General features: G+C 35.8%; 1 protein-coding gene and 1 long non-coding RNA gene across 10 annotated transcripts in view, besides 1 other annotated feature; both read left to right on the plus strand.

The window, feature by feature from the left end:
- MALRD1 (MAM and LDL receptor class A domain containing 1) overlaps positions 1-22599 on the plus strand; it is a 687552-nt gene that overhangs the window by 90741 nt on the left and 574212 nt on the right. For 8 of the 9 annotated variants that reach the window (XM_011519453.3, XM_011519455.3, XM_011519454.2 and 5 more), the window contains 2 exons: positions 8531-8677; positions 17408-17505. In XM_011519453.3, the coding sequence (XP_011517755.1) occupies positions 8531-8677; positions 17408-17505 (245 nt within the window). Of the gene's footprint in view, positions 1-8530; positions 8678-17407; positions 17506-22599 lie in introns of those variants that run through there. The other variant, XM_017016185.1, reaches the window with a different exon arrangement.
- Positions 7590-7785: a silencer, noted in NCBI's record as "fragment chr10:19434186-19434381 (GRCh37/hg19 assembly coordinates)". NCBI's record gives its function as "represses an EF-1alpha promoter that drives an FKBP-Casp9 reporter gene in an ReSE screen in K562 erythroleukemia cells {active_cell/tissue: K562}" and the evidence as "EXISTENCE:reporter gene assay evidence [ECO:0000049][PMID:32094911]".
- Positions 17513-22576, plus strand: LOC105376441 (uncharacterized). The gene is made up of 3 exons (XR_930727.2): positions 17513-19057; positions 20571-20623; positions 21734-22576. It is a non-coding gene; the product is annotated as an uncharacterized LOC105376441 (long non-coding RNA).

Consider the following 22599-nt stretch of genomic DNA (forward strand, 5'->3'; position numbering starts at 1 on the left):
CAAAGTGCCCCAACACCTTTCTTTCAGGCCTTTTCTGAAGAGTCTTTGATAGAAGTGATGACAAGAGATCCCATTACTATTCAAGCATAGTCATAGTTCAACAAAAATATAATTTAATTTACAATCCACAGGATGATTCTCATATGAGGTAACTTAGCAACTGAGATCCCTGTGTCTCTTTAGAAAACATGAATTCCAAGGATATGAATCCAATTTCTGTATCACAAACAGGTGGTTTTTAAAAGATATTAAAAATTTGACGTTTATTTTACTGCAGTGTCTTATTTTAGTGAGATATTTTGTTGAGCAGAGGTGAAAATATTATAATAAGATAAATGCCACCTTTTAAGTGAAAAGCTCTGTATAATTGGTTTCTCTTGGGAAGCTTGGATTTTATTAAGAGCAACGCGGAGGGACACAGGAGAGAGGAGATGAGAAAGTAAGGCTAAAATCCCCTTCTGCCATGTTCATCAACAGCAATCCAGTTAATACTTCAGCTTTAAACCAAGTAATCGGCTAACCAGTGTGAGCTCAACGGAGCTTTTGGGCTGCTCTCTTCTTTTGTTCAAAACAAACGATGTAAGAGCAATTTATTTACTCCAATGTATGTGAAGTTTCTTTCTATGTTTTATTTAAATTTTTTACAGACAATTTGCTTCATTTCTGTTGGGGAAATATTTCTTTCTAACAGTTTCTATAATTCTTAATGTCAATAACTGAAGGAAAATATATTTCCTTTCTTTCCACGTATTTAATTTTTTTTTTTTTTTGGGGACAGAGTCTTGCTCTGTCACCCAGGCTGGAGTGCAATGGCATGATCTCGGCTCACTACAACCTCCACTTCCCGGGTTCAAGTGATTCTCCTGTCTCGGCCTCCAGAGTAGCTGGGATTACAAGCATGTGCCACCATACCCAGATAATTTTTGTATTTTTAGTAGTGACAGGTTTCATCATGTTGGCCAGGCTGGTCTTGAACTCCTGATCTCAGGTGATCCACCTGCCTCAGCCTCCCAAAGTGCTGGGATTACAGACATGAGCCACTGCACCTGGGCACTTGTATATTTGGAAGCTTAGCTTTTTCCCCTCCATTGTATTCCCCGTAGTAAATCATACTTTATGTTCACCTTTAAAAAATTGTTTAGCATTTGATTTTCGACATATTTTCTCATTTATTGAAGTTTCATTGATTATGTATATGACATTTTTCCAATTCAGTAGATCTTGATGCCATATTCTGCTATTTTCTTTGGGTGAATGCAGGAATGGGTAATTGTGTTTCTCAACAAAAACAGTGTTACTTATTAGTCTTTTAAGTTTTTAAATAGTGTAACCTCATTTGTCCAAAGAAAACCTGTCATGTTTGCATGATTGAGATGGACTTGATATAGGGAATATGTCATAAAAATGTAGCCATATTGCATACAGTATATATGTGTATTCATGTATTTTGATACCAAAATGAGTGTTTCATGTAAATATATATACAATTATGTATGCTGTGAAATTATATAGATTTGGATTATTAGAATTGATATAAATTTACACTATTTGCTGCACTAAAGTATTTAATATATTTGTGCATATAGACACGTGCATATGTATATTCTTACAAAATAAAAGAGGCTTTCCTTTGAAATTTAAAACCATATTGAAACATTTTACACATATGAAAACATTTGTATCTTACAAATTTGAATTTGTAATATCAAGTTTTTTTCATAAACGATTCTTCCATGTTCATGAAGCACAAGAAAAATACCTTTATATCTTTTTTTTCTTGCACTTTAGAATGAATCTCTAGAAGGGTATAGCTTGTGCAGGCAGTTTGAATAGCACCAGGAATACTTACCAAATTCTGGAGAATGAGTAAATATGAACTCGTGAGGATTGTCAGTTGGTATTCCACAGCCAGTGTGCTTTTCCCCAAAGGCAGACTCACTCAGGTCTTCTGTCATTGTCAAGTTGCCCTTACTTTTCGGTATTATTTTAATATATGGCATAACATAGCCTCCAGACCGGTGGCTCTTCAAAATCAGTTAATAAAAACGGCCTGTGGGTTTTGCTGCAGCAGCAGACTCCATGGACCAGAGCATCAGCATTACCTGGGAACTTAGTGGAAATGCAGAACCTCAGGCCCTGGCCCAGCCTTACAGAACCAAAAGCTACATGGAACAAGGTCCCAGGTGACTTGTCTGCATATGAAACTTTGAGAACCACTGTACCAAAGAGGCTTGAGGAAGGAAGACAGCTAGGGGAAGAAACAGATGGCATCTAAAAAAATTGATAAAAACTAAAGGCAAACAAGTCAGAGTTCTCTCAGGGTAGAAGCAAAAACTCTGTTTACTTTGCTAGTCCTTAAGAGCATCAATATTAATAAAATATTTATAATGTGTATTTGTAATGTATATTAACACAATATTTATAATATAATCCTGTTAGAATCTAATATATTCTCATTAAATGAAATATTCCCCATTCATTTCCCATACATAGCTTTCTTTCTTATTTCACAGAGAGCTGATTAACTTCTGGAGGATTCATAAAATATTTTGCTTTTCATGATCCAGAATTTTTCCCAGCTGCACAATGAAATTCTTTCTTGTCTGCTCATATGCTGTAGTGGTTAAATATGCAAGAGAAAGCTTTGTCATGATCTTAAAATATTACTTTAACTGATGAACTGTGAGTAAAATTTCTCTAAAACCAAACAATAGATTTTTGATGTTTATTAACATAATCCTGTATTAAATGAGGGCAGTTAAGATTAAAATATATCTGCACCCTCATGTTCACTGCAGCATTATTCAAAATATCCAGCCAAAACAACTGAAGTCTCTGAGAATGGATCAAACAAGTGGGGTGTGTGTGTGTGTGTATGTGTGTGTGTGTGTGTGTGTGTGTGTGTATAAAATGTATATGTGTTCACAATGGAATATTATTCAGCAATAATGAAGAAAAAAACTTCCTATTTGTGACAATGATGAGCGTGGAGGGGATTATGCAAAGTGAAATAACCCAGACAGAGAAAGATAAATACAGCACGATCTCACTTATACATGGAATCTAAAAAAGTTGAATTTGTAGAAACAGAGAGTAGAATGGCAGTTGTCCAGGGCTGAGGCCTGGCCGAAATGGGGAGGTATTGGTCAAAAGATACAAATTTTCACTTACAAGATGAATAAGTTCTGGGAGTCTAGTGTACAGCCTGGTGACTATAGTTAGTAACACTGTATTGTATACTTGAAATTTGCTGAGAGTAGATCTGAAATGTTCTGATCACACACACAAAAGGTAACTATATGATGAAATGATGCTAATTAGCTTTACTGTAGTAATCCTTTCACTACGTATATGTATATCAAAACATTACATTGCGTACCTTAGTTACAATTTTATTTGTCACTTATACATCAATAAAGCTTAAAAAATTAATACATATATATGCAATATGTTTTAAAAATCTCTATCAAAATAATTAAAATACAACATGCCAAACATGTCCAAAGATACACGTTGGATCCCTGAACAGTTTATACATGAAATAGATCTAATTTTCAGACACACGCTACAACATGGATGAACCTTGAAGACGTTAAGTGAAATAAGCCAGAGACAAAAGGACACATATTGTTTGGTCCCAGTTATATGAAGTACCTAAAGTAGGCAAACTCATAGAGACAGATAGTAAAACGGTGGTTCCCAGGGTTTGAGGGGAGGGGAGATGGAAATTATTGCTTAATGGGGGTGGAGATTCAGTTTGGGAATGAAAAAGTTCTGGAGATGGATGGTGGTAATGGTTGTACGACAATGGGAATGTACCTAATACCATAGAAGCTTACATTAAAAATTGTTAAAATGTTACATTTATGTCATGTATATTTTACCACAATAAAATACACATTTGTATTTATATATACAATTTTCAATAACTCATATAGGAAAAATATATATATATATAGAATCTACTTCACTGTGTTCCAGAAAAGTTGGCATGATAGATACATCTTCAAATCAAAATAGTTCAGGAAATTCCATGAAAAAGGGGTTTTTTAAATTATAGGACTTTAAAAACAATTTTAAATGCTAATATGAATTGTGTACCTTCACAGGGGACGTTGGTATAATAGTCAAATGAAAGAAATTTAAACCAAGGATCTTGTATGATTCATTAATTTTTACTGTGATATTGTCTCTAGATGTCTTTCATGTAAAAAAAAATGTTGGGCCGGGTGCGGTGGCTCACGCCTGTAATCCCAGCATTTTGGGAGGCCGAGGCGGGTGGATCACGAGGTCAGGAGATCCAGACCATCCTTGCTAACACAGTGAAACCCCATCTCTACTAAAAATATAAAAAATTAGCCGGGCGTTGTGGTGGGCGCCTGTAGTCCCAGCTACTCGGGAGGCTGAGGCAGGAGAATGGCGTGAACCCGGGAGGCGGAGCTTGCAGTGAGCCAAGATTGCACCACTGCACTCCAGCCTGGGCGACAGAGCGAGACTCTAACTCAAAAAAAAAAAAAAAAAAAAAAAAAAGTGGAATGCTAAAACACTTCATGAAGGGAAAGGAAATACCAATATAAAAATATTTAGTGTAGCAATGATCTGTGTGGGTTTCCAATACATATTAACAAAATATTTATAATGTAATCCTGTTAAAATCTAATATATTCTCATTAAATGAAATATTCCCCATTCATTTCCCATACATAGCTTTTTGTTTCTTATTTCACAGAGAGCTGATTAACTTCTAGAGGATTCATAAAATATTTTACTTTTCATGATCCAGATTTTTTCTCAGCTGAACAATGAAATTCTTTCTTGTCTGCCCATATGCTGCAGTGGTTAAATATGCAAGAGAAAGCTTTGTCATAATCTTAAAATATTACTTTAACTGATGAACTCTGAGTAAAATTTCTCTAAAACTGTGAACAGCGCCATATCTCATACTGCGCTTAGAGATGGTGAAGCGTATTCTGTAATCACAGAAAGTTAAAATAAAGGCAACTAAGTAATCAAAATCATTGTTTTAATGAAAGTACTTTATTTATAACATGAATAGATTTTTTTAGATTTTGCAAATGTTTACATTTAACACATATAGTATGATAAGACATTTAATAATTGCCAGAATGCATTTGACTCTCCCGGCTTTCTTCAGATATTTATAAGTTCACTTTAAAGTTTTTGAATTACACAGGGGAGATATTAATGGAAGAACTTCAATTTAGTTACCGGAATTTGATTTATATTTTACAGTACAGTGAAGTTCTTGAACTTTTAGCTTTAAAAAATATTCTTTTACGTGTACAGGAACACATTAGTAAAAACAGCCAATCAATTCACCAAGGTTCTTACAGAGGTGGTTGCACCATGTCACCATGTTGCTTTCACACATCTTTATGGTGACGGATTTTGAAAGCTAATTTTCATTTTTCAAAGGATGGTGGTGTTTAGCATTCTGTAAAAAGCACAATGATTGACATTTTTTAACCAATAAAACATCTAGGTAATGAAAGAAATGGTTTGAACTTTTGTCCTAAAGCCAAATTTCAACATTTATACAATCAAAAGTGGCTTTTATCTTGAGAGCTTCTTTCTTTATGTCTTTGCGGTTGAGCGACTAGCTCAATTATGAAGAGTCTGGGTGAGGGTGTGGGATGCATCAGTCATATGGTACTTTCCATTTTCACACTCATCGATCTCATTGCCATTTCACACCATTGCCTTGTTGGGGAAATTAGAATGGTGCCTTCAGCAGATATCTGAATGAAGAACATTGCTGTTTGCATGGACTTGTATAGCAATGCATAATTTGCTGCCCTAACAGTGCAATATTGAGTTTATTACCCAAACAGGGACTGAGAGAGGGAAAAGAAGAGATGAAGTATTAATTATTATACTAGGACAACAGGCATGCATTGAGGCAACCCTGGGCCAGGCAAGACATGTGGTCACTCTACTCATGAAAGATTTTGTATTCCAGGGAAGTGTGTTCTAGGAATTGGAGGTAACCTTGTAGAGAGGTGGAAGGATTCCTTCGTCAAATCCACAGCCAAGAATTTGGAACTTTGAAGCACATTTCAGAGGCCAAATATGTACTTTGAGTCTTAAATATTTCTATACTCCACCAACTGACAGAACATTTTGGAGGTGGCATAGAAGGTGGCAGAGCTCACAGAGAACCGAGGGATTAGACCAGAGGGTTCTGTAAATGCCCAGGGAGAAAGTCACAGCTAGGTTGTAAGTGCTCAAGATTGTGTCAGAAAACAGAAGACACTCTCCCCTGGGGAGTAATGTTTTATCAAGAGCCATATCCTATAAATTATGTAGACACACCTAAGAAAAGAAAAACATAGCCAAGAGCAATAGATTTCCAGCTAGGTATATGGGCAAACTGCACTTCCCTGTCATAGCAGTGCACCATTAGGCGATGTGCAACATGTTTTTATTATTATGCTGTAGTCAACTTTCTTGTTTTTTATTTGTAGGGAAATCCATTTAGAGGGAAAAATAATATTCATTTGTAATGAAAGAAATGCTGTACCAAAATCTATGGATGCTCAAGTCCCTGGAGAACTTGAGCCCTGGGGAAAAGTCAGCTCTTGTATCTGCAGGTTGCACATCCTGCTAATACTATATTTTTGAACCACTATTGGTTGAATCTGCAACAAGGAACCCACAGATATGGAAGACCCACTGTCTATTCTATGACTGTCTAACAAGCACGGCTTTCAGATCTAAAGGTTCAGTTTGCATGTAGAGAAATCGGAAGTGGCATTGTCATTTGCATACCGCACTTCAATGTTTTAAGAGTTGACATGTCAGTGATAAAATATGTGGTCATAAAATCAGGTGTCCCTATTACAGAGACTTGAAGATGCTTTGATTATTAAGATATAGTGAGCTTATTTGATATGCTGGTTAAATTGGCCGTATTAAAATTTACAAGTTGAACACAATGGTCAGAAGCAAACCCATGGTGATGGAGTCTTTTTAATTATGAAACAGAGTTCCTGGTTTAAGGAGGCTTCGGAATATGAGCTTTTGGTGTCAGACAGGTTCAAAGTCTAGATGTTCCATTTACTAAAATGTACCACAAGCAAGTTGCTTCATGTTCTGAGTTCCAATTTTCTCTTTTAGGAAATGGTATTTACTATGTAGAGTGTTAAGAATTAAGGTTAATATATGTAAAATGCCTGCTACATACTTGGAACTCAGTGGTAGTTTGGCTGTTTTTATTGTTATTAAAGATGATAGCATGAAGATCTTAGGAATCCTGTCAAAACTATGGGTGTTTTCTGACAACTTAATTCTCCTTTTCTTCCCCACTGTTTGAAAACTGCCTCAGCATAAAGAGGAATATTTAGGAATAAGCTTTTAAATTAATTGTATTAATTTATTCCCAAAAGTACTAAGATAGTCTGATACTATGATTCTTATTTTAGGAAAACGAAATTTAAGCACATAATAATGAATTTCTCGAAAGCAGAAATCAAGCTCTTAGACTTTCTAGTTGAATGCCCAGTCTTATGAAACCATCTATTTTTCTCTCATAAATTTGGTGTCAAAGCTGTGAAAGGTGCCTATAAAGTATGCTCCAAACCCCGACTTTCTCTAGAACCAGTTCTTTTATGATAAATGGAGGAAATTAAGTGCTTGGCAACTTTTGAGTTATGTATTAAGAGAAGACAGGCTCAGGCTGGGCACAGTGGCTCATGCCTGTAAACCCAGCACTTTGGCAGGCCAAAATGAGCAGATCATTTGAGGTCAGGAGTTCGAGACCAGCCTGGCCAACGTAGTGAAACACTGTCTCTCCTAAAAATAAAAAAAAAATATCCGAGCATCGTTGCATGTGCCTGTAATCCCAGCTATTTGGGAGGCTGAGGCAGGAGAATTGCTTGAACCCAGGAGGTGGAGATTGCATTCAGACATTGAACTGAGACTGCGCCACTGCACTCCAGCCTGGGTGACAGAGCGAGACTCTGCCTTAAAAAAAAAAAAAAAAAGACAAAAGATAACACCAGCTCAGTTCCGAATATCTAATTTACCTGCAATTCCAAAATGGCTAGGTATTTTTTTTTTGAGAAAGTGTTAGGATAGAATAATAAAATGCATACTGAGATGCTGATCTCAAGTTATTTGTGTGTCCAGAATTAATTTAAACTTCCCCCTTCCCAGTGGATTTTTTTCATTTAAACTACCATCTCAGCAGGTTTATACTGGGCAAGCAAATTAGTTACTCCCTGAGAAGCTTTGGAGTTCCACCTTGCATCATTAAATAAAATGGAGATGGCCAACCAGAATGAAATGTACCAGACTTACAGATGGAAGCATGTGGAAGGGTCATGCCTCACACAGCACCTGAGATATTGTGTGTGACTAGATAAAGGAAAGCTATTCCGATCATTAGAGAATATTCACTACCAAGCAGAATAATTTTGCAGGCCTCCTAAGATGATTAGCTAGCGTAGAGCAGTGTTTGCCTGCATGCTCTTCATTTCTCCTCACCTGTTTTCTCTTCTACGTGTAACAGCAAAGCATCTCACCTGTGACTTTGAGTCGGGTTTCTGCGGTTGGGAGCCATTTCTCACAGAAGATTCACACTGGAAGCTGATGAAAGGATTGAATAATGGAGAGCACCACTTTCCTGCAGCTGATCACACAGCAAACATAAATCATGGTAGGACATTTTCCTCTTTAAAAAAAAATAGTTTTCTTTCTTGCATGTTGTGGAATGATGATACTGTGTATTTTCATTTCTATTCTGTAGACTGTATACATGGAACTCTGGTTTGTCTTGCTTTAAAACCTCCTGACCAAGTTAATAATTGGCGGGTAATTGAGTTCCCTGAAAGGAGCATTGTTTTAATCACCAACATGTTTGTTGTTGCACTTTTTATGAGTTGGGTTAAAGGCATAAAGAGGTGGAAAAGTTTTCTGATCATTTTCTCAAGTTGCCCAGAATCAAGTACAGTAGGCTTGCCTTCTTTTTAGAGCAATCCAATTTTTTCAAAACAGGAAGAAAAATAGTCTAATCTTGTTTCTGGGAACTGAGAACAGAGATTTAGCACTATCTGTGAAATAAATTTACAAATACTTGAATGCAATTTAATCAGTCTTCGGGCTTCTTTATAATAAACAGTCTTATTCTTCCACATATATATTTTTAACCATCATTCCAGTGTTTACATATCATCTTAAAATAGAGGAACCATAACTACCTGTGGTTTTCCAATAAGTGTCTGTGAAACTCCAATAAAACAGAAAGGGTTTGTTCTCTTTTTTCTTTTGTTTTGTTCACATTTGTCATCGGATGTCATTCCCCATATACGTTAGCATCGTCTTAACTTTACTTTTTAAATGTATATATTTTAAGTAAAGAGTGTCTCGCCATGTTGCCCAGGTTGATCTCAAACTCCTGGCCTCAAGCAATCCTCTCATCTCAGCCTCCCAAAAGTGCTGGGATTACAAGAGGGAGCCACCACACCTGGCAAACCTTACAATAGCACAATTGTACTTGTACTGTAGATCATCTTTCAACCTCATTGAACATTATCCTATTTGTTTCTTCTTTCAGACTTCCAAAGAATTATACCAAAAATAAGTATTGATCATATTTTTAATTACAGCCATTGGAAATTGGGGTTGGTGGTAGTGGGTGAGAGTGCTAGGGGATGGGGTGGGAAAATTCAACCATCCATCTGTTGGCTACAGCCATAAATCTAGTTAATTGTTTAACAGTGTGGTAAGTTCTTAATTTTTGCTTTTGTGCCATGACTCATTTCTTTAACATTTTGTGGCAGACAAAGTTAAGTTTAAAGTTTAAAATAGAAAGGGGACTATAAATCATTGTAACTATGTATTAACAACACATTTTCTCTAAACTCATATAATATTTTACTTCTTTTTCTCTGTTCAAGCCAATTATTAAATACATAGCATAGACGATACCTGGATGCACAAAGATGGATGCCACGATCCCTGCCTTTGAGGTGGTCTCAGTCTGGTAGCTTAAGTAGATAAGCAAGGAATTGCAATCGGTTATGAAGGATGCTTTAAGAGGGATGGAAGGTGATTCAGATGGATTCGAGATGCCTTGTTGAAGGAGATGACTCCTGAAATGAGCAGTGAAGGGAAATGAAAAGTAGTCAGGAAGCCAGAAGTAAGGAATTACTGAGAGAAGACGGAACCAAAGAGAGGTGGGAGGGATCATGTCCTAATTGGAGGGAAGAATCCCCAAAGAGGGCAGAAAGATGGGAGTAGTTAGGGATGAAAGACGTGTGTGATTGGACAGGGAGAAGAGAACTGATGAAACAGGAGAGGAAGGAAGGGGACTCTAGAGAGTGCTGAGGAATTGGAAATGTGTCTGCAGGATGATGGTGACCCAGGTAGTCATGTTAAAGCATGTGACCAATCAAATTTGCTCTAAAGGGCTGTTGTGTCTGAGATGAGGAGAATGGAGAGGGTGAAAGGCTGGAGTCAAAAAAACATGGATGTGCTGAAGAAATATCAGTGAGAGATGATGAAGGCCTAAGCCAAGGCAGTGATTCTCAAAGGGAAGCTGTGCGGGCAGTGTGTCACGGTGGTCTGATGTGAGCATACCATAACCAGTTAGGGAAGAGCACGGGCTGCCCAGGGTTCCGACACGATGTTGACACTGCACCCATGTCTAAATATTAGGGTGCTTCAGTTTTATTAGATAGAAAATAGAGAAAAGAAAAGTAGCTTCCCTGTGGAGTTGTCATGAGGATTAAATGAAATAACACCTGTGAAGGTTTTTCCATGTAGTAAGATCTCCATAAACATTAATAGATATTTGTTGTCCATTCTAATAAGAAGACTAGGAAAAACACCAGATAAGACAATTAGAAAATATGTTTGTAATTCACCTTTAGTCTTTTGCCATCTTATAATTACTACATAACTATGATTTGCATTAAAAAGATTCTAATAGAGCCCCTGTGTTAGATGTTGAAAGACCCATTCTTTTCCGGTGAGATGAAGAATAGTGAAAGATAACAATATGACTGATAAAACTAGGGGCAGCTGGTCTCACCCAGAGTGTGAGGGACAAAAACGCAGTCTTTCTCATTTTAGAAAGGGCCAATTAAAAAAAAAAAAAAAATATATATATATATATATATATCTGGATCACGGAGTCAACATCTCTTTACCCATGATTGCCATGATCAAACCTTAAAGAGAATCAGTAGTGGTTTTAAATTGCAAGTGAGGAGGAGAATTTAAAAAAATGAAAAAGGACCAGGAAGGGAAAGGAAAGTGAAATGGAAATTTCTGGTAGAGTCAGAGGCAGCCTAATAATTCCGATATCTAAGAAAGTGGAGTTCTAGTTCATTTTGTTCTTAGAGCCTTAAACATATAGATTGCAGCTTTTAAATCTGTCTATCTGTCCATCTATCTATCTATCTATCTATCTATCTATCTATCTATCTATCTATCTAACTAGCTGAGACAGAGTCTCACTTAGTTGCTCAGGCTGGAGTGCAGTGGTGTGATCCATGCTCACTGCAAACTCCACCTCCCAGGTTCAAGCAATTCTCCTGCCTTTTCCTCCCAAGTAGCTGGGACTACAGGTGCACACCACCACGCCCAGCTGGTTTTTTGTTTTTGTATTTTTAGTAGAGCCGGAGGTTTCACCGTGTTGACCAGGCTGGATATGTTGATATTATCTAGTTTTTGTGTGTATGTGTGTAATTAAGCCTCGAATTTCCTTCCTGCCTTTTTTGCTTCGTTTCTACCTTCCTATTCCTACTCTGTTAAATTTCCATCGAAATAGGCAACTCATGTTAATTATGTTCCACTTTTATCTATGTTCATATAGTCACACACAGATATATATATAGTAGATACATACATATTCAAAATTATATGTGTTTCTGTGGTTGTTTGTTTTTTAAGAAATATATTATCTTGTAACTATTGTCCCTATCTTCTTACTAAAGATAGCTTATGGCAGTTGCTCCAAGTCATCAAATACTATCTATTTTTTTCATTTTTTATGATAAAGTATTGGTTAAATGTAAAATTCAACCATTTTAGTGTACAGTTCACTGAGTTCTGACATACATACACAATTGTGTAACCATCACAAAAATGAAGATATAAAACAATTCTATTCCTGCCCAACACATTTTTCTGTGCCATTATGTACTCAATAATTCTCCCACCTCCCACCACTGACATCAATGATCTGATTTCTAGCCCTAGTGTATGCCTGTTCCAGAATGTCTTGAAAATGGAATCATATCATATGTAGCATTTTGATTCTGCCTTCTTTCAATTAGCATAAAGGACTTGAGACTCATCCATGTCGCTGGCTTCAGCCACAATTCCTTCCTTTTTCACTGCTGAATAGTTGGGTCCATTGTGTGGATGAGCCACACTTCATTTATCCACTAACCAGCTGAAGGACACTTAGATTGTTTCCAAATATTGTCAAATATGAGTAAAAACACCATTAAATTTGCATACGTGTTTTTGTCTGGACATAAGTGTTTATTTGGTTTGAGTTCTCTATCCAATGCCTATGTCTGTTTTTGTTTTTGTTTTTGTTTTTTTTGCACTCTGGTTGGTGATAGAACTCTACCATTCCTGACTTTCTGCGACCTTCGGGAAATGTTCCAGCTATTCATTTCAGGTGTTTTTACCCCCAGACTCAGGTAGTTTTCTCCAATCCATGCACACGATCGGTCCTTACATGGCAATTTAGGGGGGACTGTCTGCAGATTTCGGGAGCTTGCTGTCTTTTCAAAGCTCCAGTACCTGAAAGGGGCAGCTGGCACTCTGTCTTATGAATTCTACCCATGTGGGTCTCCCCAAAGCACCGACTCTATCTGTTTCAACTTGAGGAGACTACCACACTCCTGTGTTTCCCCTCTGCACAGGCACCTGGAAACTCTGTCTAGGCAGTAAGCTGTGGGAATTACAGGACTTAACTCATTTGTTTCCCCTCTCTCAGAGATCACTATCCTGTGATCTATCACTATCTTACATTCCCATTGTCCTATATTTGACAGTCCATGCTAAATATGCTTTTTTTCTAATATTTTTCTTTTGCTCGTTTAAGACAGAAGATAAAATCTAGTCTGTGATACTGGATTCATGTTTGTTTATTTAGCTAAATATATTTGATTTGGATATACCATAATGTATCTAGCTGTTCCCCTATCCAGTGACATCAATATCATGACGATGTTTCAAATTTATTCTTGTACACATTTCCTCCTGTAGGATACTTTCGATTTTATGCAATAGATAATAACTAGGAGTGAGACTTCTATATTTTTTAAGCAAGATATGTATTTATATTTTCAATAAACATTTATAGATTCATTTACCCTAAAACTTTAGTACTTCAATTTTTAGTGACAAAATGGGACTACTTTTTCCTATTTTCCTACCAGCAAGAGGCATTATAATTCTCTATAAAAATTTCCAATTAATGGGTGTACAATGATTTCTCATATGTAATATTTATTTGCATTTCACTGAAAAATATTTTTTTCAAGTGTTTCCAATGTCTCAATTTATTTGGGTTCTTTAATTTTACTAAGTAATATTTTACAGCTTTCGGGGTAGAGATTTTGAAAATCTTTTGCTAATATTTTCCTAGGTTTTTGTGTTACTTTTAAAGAACTTCTGATTTTGATTATTGCTGACATATAGAAGTGCATTTTTATAGAAAATATTGACCTTGTATCCAGTGGCCTTGCTAATTTTATTTATCATAGCTAGGAACTTATACATATATATTTTATTTTCTAGGATCACAATTATTTTGTCTGCAAATAATGGCAATTTTATTTCCTTTTTTCTAAATATTAACAGTTCTATCTTCCTTTTGTTGTTTTATGTACTGGACAGAATTTCTAGAATGTGTTGAATAGAACTGGTGGTAGCTGCTAGACTTGTCTTATTTCTCTCTCAGAGGAAAAGCTGTCAATAGTTGAACCTTAAGTGCCATGCTTACTGAAAAATTGTATTCTTTATCAGATAAAAATGTTCCCTTCTATTCAAGAGTGTGCTTTTTAAAAAAATTAAGAAATTGAATGTATGTTAAAAGTTTTCAGTATTTTTCAGCATCTATTATGATATGATTGTCAGATTATCTTTTTTGTCTATAAGGTAAATTGATTTTTTAAATATTAAACCCCTCTTGCACTCCTGAACCAAACCTAACTGGAGTAATTTTATTTATTATTCATTTCTTTATTCTATATGGTAATGCTTGTTTATAACTTTTGCATTTGTGAAAGTTATAGAGACTGGCCTCTAACGTTCCTAAGACACGTAAGGTGTTACTTCTAGGCCAGTGCATTAACAAGGTACCTGTTTTGCAGAAGGTGAGGTCGAGCCAGATGTGAACACTTTAACCCAGGGAGACTATTCACTCTGTCCTTTAATTTTTATATTGTGCTGGTCACATAGCCACTCTGGGGTATGTGGGTGTGTGAGAGTTTTACAATAAACAAATCTGATTACCAGAAGTAAACTCCTTGCCATGACCAGGAATAAAACTGGTAAATTCCACATTTCTCTAACTTGGCTCATTGTTTAGAGCAGGCTGATAGGAAGATAAATCAAGGGACGTGTTCCTAGAAGTCCCTGGGCCTGTGGTCAGAGTTTAGACTCTCTATACCCCTTACCTGCACATATTAATTTTAACACAATATTGTCAACTTTCTAAATATTTGGTTAAAATTATCATAGGATAGCATTTAGCTTCCAAATCAATGGTCAGTAACTTCATATTTTAATTCTATTATCTTTCCATCTAGAAACATGTTATCTCTTTTCATCTAACCAGAGAGTTTGCAGTCTTTCACAAAGTTTATAATGTTCTTCATATAAATCATGTCCCTTTTCTGTTAAATTTATTCCTACATTAAAAAAATTAATTTTGCTATCAGGAGTTGGACATTTCTTGCTGTTTATGTATCTGGAAACTTACTGCTAAGATAAGATAAGTAATTGTGTAATATATCTGTTTCCATTTAGCTTACCAAATTTTCTAAATGATACTATAATTATAAAAAATGGAATACTTTGGCTTTCTATTTTTACAATTATATTATTGGTAAAACATGGGAAATTTACTTCTCTTTTTCTATAATGTCTACTAGATATTTTATTTCCTTGACTTCTACACTCACCAGACCTTTAAGATAATATTAGTCTAAGATTATAAATATTGCCTAATATTATCTCTAATTGATAGTTGTGACAGAAATATGTCATTTCCCATTTTAATTAATATTGTTTTATCATTTGCCATTTAGAATGCTATTTATTTTGAGGTTGTTCACTAGTCTTTATTTAATTATTTCCTTTTATTTTATTAAGATTTGTGACTTGAAATTGTTCACTGGTTTTTCATAGTCTTTTCAACATTTAGATAGGATTCTATGACTTGACACTTTCATTTGTTGTTGTAACTGAATATGGAGACCGAGCTCCTAAATTAAACCAAACCTACATTCTTGGAAGGCTCAGATTAATCAAGACACACTATTTTTGGATAACAATTTCAAATTTATTCGACATCATTTTAATTAGAATATTTGTTCCTATGCTCACAAGTGAGATTGCTCTCTAGAGTTTTAAATTTTGTCCTATTTTCATCCATTTTATTAAAAATTAAAGATATTCTGGCAACCTAATATGAATCAGGGAGCTCTCCATATTTTTCTAAGATCTGAGGTTTCTCAAATAATGTTGCAAATATTTGTTTTTTAAAAATTAAATAGGGAGCCAGGTGCAGTGGCTCATGCCTGAAATCCCAGCACTTTGAAGGGCCAAGGCAGGAGGATTGCTTGAGGCCAGGAGTTTGAGACTCTGCTCCTACAAAAAAATTTAAAAATTTGCTGTATGTGGTAGTGTGCTCCTGTACTCCCAGTGGGAGGCTGAAGTTGGAGGATTGTTTGAACCCAGGAGTTCCAGGCAGCAGTGAGCCATAATCATGCTACTGCACTCTAGCCTAGGTGACAGAGCCAGACCCTGTCTCAGGAAAAAAAAAAAAGAAAAGAAAATTAAATTTAACTCAGATGTGGGACCGTACATATCTCGCTAGATTTTCTTTTCATTACTTTTTCAGTTACTTTTGTTGTCTAAACGATTTATTCAGGCCTTTTGCTTCATTTAGATTTTGGCGTCTTAATGTGTACATGTTCTCACCTTCGTTAACCTCTTGTTTGAAATTTGTATATTCTTTTGAATGACTGGAGGAGTAAGGTCTTTGAATATCGGTTCATTTGTTTTTAGAATTTTGATCATCTTTTTAAAAATATTCATTTGAATTTTACCTAAACCTGAGCATTTTTAGGTGGAAGAATTTTTCAAAATCACCTTTTCCCATTCTTTTCCTTTTTAGGTGAAGCATAGAGAATTTAATGAACTTGCTCGCATGCACTGTTTCCATTACCTGTAGTTTGGAATTTGGGGACAGTAATCTTTATCTTTCCAAGTTGGTTTTGAGATTTAAAAACAATATAAACTGGGTTCTATTTTTCCCACTCAAAGATGACACTGCTGCCTCACATCCTTGGTTGTTTGGTTAAACATGTGATGGAGTCTATAAAATAATACATTCTAATTCTAAATCCTTTCCTTTGTGTGCAGTCGGCATTGACTTGTATCTAGGAAAATCACTCTCTGAATACGGTATTTTCCAATGAAAATAGTTGGTTTTCCAAATTGCCTATCACTGTGACTATCAAAGGGCAGTATCAGACCTTGACATTGTTGGGTATAGCCTTCCTTGTAAGTCTTCAATATTCAGTGAAACTACCCCAGACAGCAGCTCTGAACCTGTGATCTTTTAAGCTGCTGAGAGATGTTATCCCCTGCACATTTGCCATGAGCACATCCGTCGTAGTTAAAATCTAAAAGCGGTGATTTTGTTAATGTTCAGATTAGATCTTTAATTAAGCTTTAATCCCCTCTAGCACAGACAACAATGTCAAACATGTAAGACCCAGGAGAAACTAAAATTCATTCCATAAGCTCATATCCTTCGGTACTTTGTGAAGAAACTAAAAAGTAAAGCTCTTGTGGGTATTTCATAAGGGCCTGTTGAATATCTAATTGTCAGCTTAGAAGCTTCATTTAATTTGATGTCAAACTCTATGACATAAATGAAGCCAACAGAAATGTTTGTTTAGGTGATTTGGATCAAGAGCTTGTTTTAATTGATTAAATGTTATTTTAGGTATTTAATGTTATACCGGTATAAATGCTATTTGTTATCTACAAACCATAATAGTAAACATGTAAAAAATGTACTTTTCTTTAATTGATAGTTTAGCATGTGCAAGGATAAGATTGTGGAGCAAAGAACAGCTAAGTGTGTAAGAGAACTTGCATCCCTATGACTTTCCCTTTGTTTTTTCAGGATCGTTTATTTATTTGGAGGCACAGCGCTCCCCCGGGGTGGCCAAGCTTGGAAGTCCTGTTCTTACAAAATTGCTCACTGCCTCTACCCCATGTCAGGTAATCAACTGTTCTGAATTTCCACTGGCCATTCTGCGGTTGTAAATCGCTGAGCTTGGGTTACTCTGCTAGTAATTGCCCGCCATGTTTTACTAGCACTTTAATGATGAATTAAGAGATTTACATGCGCTATTTCAACACAAAATGCTACGTCCTTCTAGAATACCATTTGTAACACATAACTGGCACCATTCTTTTGAGGGCTATTAAAGCTTTCTGTTGTTTTATATTCTTTTCACACAGTCATTTCAATAATCTAAAGCTGTGGATACGTGTTGCCAAAATTTTTGGCCAACAGTGTACATTGAGAAAAATAAAGTCAGTTAAATAAGTGTTTGTTGAAAGAAAGACAAATGGAAATGATTATATTTACTGAAATTTGAGTTTTTTAAATGAGTCCTCTGGTGCCAGGCAAACACAAACTAAGGAGTGAAATACCCATTTTATTTCAGCAGCATATTAGAGAGGACGGACTAGTTAGACTTGGTTCAAGTCTCTTTTGCCACTTTCTAACTGTGGCTCAGACAAATTGTATATTCCTTTTGAGACGCAGTGTCTACACCAGAAACATACATGATTGTATGCATTAAATGTCAGCATTTACATTGGAAGCATACACGATTATATGGAATAATGTCAAGGATTAAAATGTGATTAAATAAAGCACCTGGCAAAATATTTGGTACATAGTAGGTAAACAATGTTTGTATCAAACATTGGTATATATGTACCAAATATAATGTTAATTCAGTAAACATAATTCCTTTGCTTTCCATAAAAGTAACACCTAAATCAGAGGTCTGTATTCAGCTTGTCTTATTTTCAGTCCTTTTGAGAGCTCCAACATGCCTCTCGGCCCTTAGGATTTCAGCTAATTTTTCGTCTTTACTTATCAGAAAATAATGAAGAGATCAGTAGTGCCACACAGTAAATTCATTGCCTGTAAGTGTAGTGTTAGAGCAGTTTACTCGGGCATTCCTGGTGATAAATGACATATTATTCCGAGGTATAAACCTAATTATACTTTCAGTTTGGTATAAGTCTAAGTGGGAGTGCCCTGAGTTCTTAATAATGGTGTCCATAGATACTTTCTTTTAAAGTCCTAAAGATACTTTCTTTTCCTTTCTTTTGTTTTTTTTTTTCTTCCCATTTCTTTGTGAGAATAAGAATTAAAGCAAATGCCTGGTCTCCATTTCCATTTTATCCAAATGCCTTTTACCCATTCCCACCTCTTTATTTTCATTAAATCCTATAAGATAGACAGAAAAAGAGAAAGATAGATATAGAGCGTTTTTTTTTTTTTTTTTGAGGGGAAACTCCAGAAGCACTTATTCTTTGAAAGTACAAGCTAACTTAGATTTAATTCAAGGTCATACATTAAAGTGATGAGATCACAAATGTTAGATATATAGAAAAAATTGAATGTAAAGGAATATGATGTGTTAATTCTGTCTGCTTTACAGAAATTTGAAGATATTAAGAGTGTATTAGAAATTCCTATGACTCACCTAGAGTCACTGAGAAATCATATGCATGTATATGATTTTAAAAGGTAATCTACCTTTCCCATCATTGTATGCTTCCTGATAGCCATTGATTTGTGGTCACTGGGATTGAGTTTCAGTTTATCATTGTTTCCACTTGAGGACACTTAATTTTTGCTTAAATTGGTAACTTAGTTGGGGTTGGGGTGTTATTTAGGTGGGGTCTCAGTGAAAATGCTGTCATGGACATTTTGGGTGCTTGGTAGTTTATCTCAAAACCAAGGCTTCGATCTCTAAAGGCTATGGATACTGACTTAATGGTTTGCCTTGGTTTTTGAAAAACTGAGACTGTTTCAAGGAGCCACTGCAGACTGCCAGAAGAGATATTTGTTTTTCACGCTTTTCTCTATTTTAGGAGTCTTTGAGTTAGCAGGAAGGATATTTGAGTTACTTTGTAATGCTTTCCAGTTTAGGAAGTAGGAGTAGACTGTAGGAGAATGTTATTGATAGTCTGAGATACACATAGCTAAGGTTCTCAGGATTTTTCTAAGACTATAATATGAATTTTTTTAATAAGTTTGTGGCAATATGTGATATTTTCTTTTTCTTTCTTTCCTTTTTTTTTTTTTTTCCTGAGACAGAATCTCACTCTGTCGCCCAGGCTGGAGTGCAGTGGCGCAATCTGGGCTCACTGCAAGCTCCTGCCTCAGCCTCCTGAGTAGCTGGGACTACAGGTGCCCACACCACTCCCGGCTAATTTTTTTGTATTTTTAGTGGAGTCGGGGTTTCACCATGTTATCCAGGATGGTCTCGATCTCCTGACCTCGTGATTCACCCACCTTGGCCTCCCAAAGTGCTGGGATTACAGGCGTGAGCCACCGCACCCAGTCGATATTTTCTTACATAAAAGTTACAGAATAAGCAAACAGAACGAATTCTTACCTTCTTGGGTAACTGGAAAATCTAGCCAATCCTCCGAATTGGAACGTATTGATAATAGTGCTTTCATGGAACCAATGTTCTTCATTATAAGGTAGTAGAGTCAAGCAGTGAGATAACCAGTGTGGGGTACTTTGATATGATTAAAGCCTTCATTTTCTGAAATTATATGGTTTTTTTTTCCTACATAATCCTAGCAGACTAATACAGTTAAGAAGTTTTTGTTTTTTTGAAAGGACTTTAAAGCAACTTGAGCTTTCTCGTGAGTTGCCATTTCTAACAGCACGATTTTAGGGCCATTTTGCATGGATTACCTTGTACTTTATATGTGGCCAACACATGGCATCAGCATGGACAATTGTTCCTGCAGCTAATCATTGTTCAAGATGCAGACTTTAATTTATGCTTCAAAAGTCCTTTCAGCCACTAGTGGAAAATTGGCATTTTTCTTTGAAATACAAGATAGGACAAACAGAACACGAGGGAGCCCAAAGCTATTCTATCTTACTGCTGTTGAAATGCTGTTACTGTTTACAATTAACTAGGAAATGTAAAGTATGAAGGGGATTAATGTGGGTACTAATATTTTCTGAGTTTTCATATTTGAGTTACTGTGTAAGTAACACAATCTCTTACTTTTAGGACTTCACAATTAAATACAGGAAGATGGATAATATGAAGCTTTTGCTTTCAAAGTTAGTTTGTATGTTCATCTATTGATCTTTCTTTTGTTTTTAATTCTCCAACTTGTTTTGCAATTACATTAATATTCCTTCAGTAAAAGATAATTCATAGATTGTTTTACAAATATGAATGAGAAGGTCAGGACAAAGGTAGTTGAAACCAGAGATAGGTTGGATCCCAAAGTAAAGTTTATGAGGGCCAGCCTACATATTTGAGTCTGCCAATGCAGAGAGGGCCACATGTGGTTCAGATTCAAGGAAGTAAAGAGAAATAAACAAAACTGAAAATAGTTCTTCTGAGACTTCTCCCAAGTGCTTGCTATATTACCAAAGTAAACATTATACCTACGATGCAACACATATATATTGCTTATCTACTGTGTGTTGATCACAGTCCTCGATGCAGGGAATATAATGACAACAACCTAAACACATGCTTGCTCTAACAAAATGTTGTTTAGTGGGGGATACTGACAGCAATTCAGTGTAAAATGCTGCAAGCTACAAGAGGGTGAGTCCAGTATAATAATAACACTCTACAAATCTCTCTCAAAGAGTTTTAAAAGGCCATGTCTTACAATGTCCCCAAAGTAGGACAATGAACTGGAGTCAAAGAACAATTTAGAAAAAAAGTAATTTTGGATCATGTCCTGCAATGGTGCAGTTGTGCTCTATTCCCTGGTCATTGTGTTTAATCCAAAGATCAATGTTAGAATAGCTGATGGATTCTAGAGGAAGCAACAGTCTACAGAGGAAAGGGCGAGCAGGTGCTCTCTCCAATCTGTATATCAAAGCACATAAAGATTAATCATTTAAACCGGAAAAACAGATTCGGTTTTATTGAAGATTCTAACCCTCAGCATAAGCTTGTTCAGGAAAAGAATGCCCAGGAAAAAGCATAACTGACTAGGAGCCATAAAAATCACTATGGTAATGGTGAGGGATGTGTGTGTGTGTCTGTGTGTTTATGTATGTGATGAATGATCCCCTCTTTCAATATATACTTATTCCCAGCTGAATTTTGAGGAGCTATAGATATCTTAGCTTGTTTTTTTTCTTTTCTCCCATTTATTTATTTTGTTTTTTTGGCTATTCTTATCCTTCTGTATCTTCGTATTCTAGATCTTATAAAGGTGCAGCAAGTGTGGCAATAAGCAGACTGAGGAAGGCATAAAGGGTCTGATGTGAAGCAGAGAAGGCAGAGGTGGCTGAGGGTTTGGAGTAAAATCGAGAATGGCCATGAAGATTTGACCAAGGAGCTCTGAGATTGAGAAGGAATTAGAACGAAGTCCACAGGGAAGTTGAGAAAATTGGCAGAAAATTTGAAGAGGAGGGTTTCAACAGGAGATGATCAAAATTAAAAAAAAAAGAAAGAAAGAAAACAGAAAAATAAGGAAGAATTCATTTTGAACTTCTGAATCATGACCTTGGGTGTCCCAGACTGAAGTATCAGAGAGCCCAAGGTCCCAGAGGCACTGTACAGACACGAGAGCCAATGGAACTAAGACTGTCACCCCCTCTCCAGCTTAGGTACTCATCCATATGCAGTAACTGGTGTAAATCACCAGATGTTATTTCCTTTGGTAGTAAAATATATGATTTAATGTATACATATATATTTTTTAAAAATAGAAATAATTTAAAATCATAAGAATACAATTAAAAATGAAATAATTGGAGCTTCCATTTTTATCTTCAATATTCAAAAAGAACTGTTTGTTGGAAACTTTTTTAACCACATGAAATTCTCTTGAATGCAGTGATTCAAAGTCATGAATAGTCATACTATATATAAAATCTGCCTTAGTGGAGACCCAAGAAAAATAAAAGCAAGCCCTTTTTATTAACATTTTACTTAACTTGTTTTGAATGAAGCAGGCATGCGTCAAGAAAATTTCCTTGAATTTTGTCAAAGGCTTTTTCTGCATCTATTGAGATAATCATGTGGTTTTTGTCTTTGGCTCTGTTTATATGCTGGATTACATTTA

Source organism: Homo sapiens, chromosome 10 (genome assembly GCF_000001405.40).
Source record: "Homo sapiens chromosome 10, GRCh38.p14 Primary Assembly".
Lineage (NCBI taxonomy): Eukaryota > Metazoa > Chordata > Mammalia > Primates > Hominidae > Homo > Homo sapiens.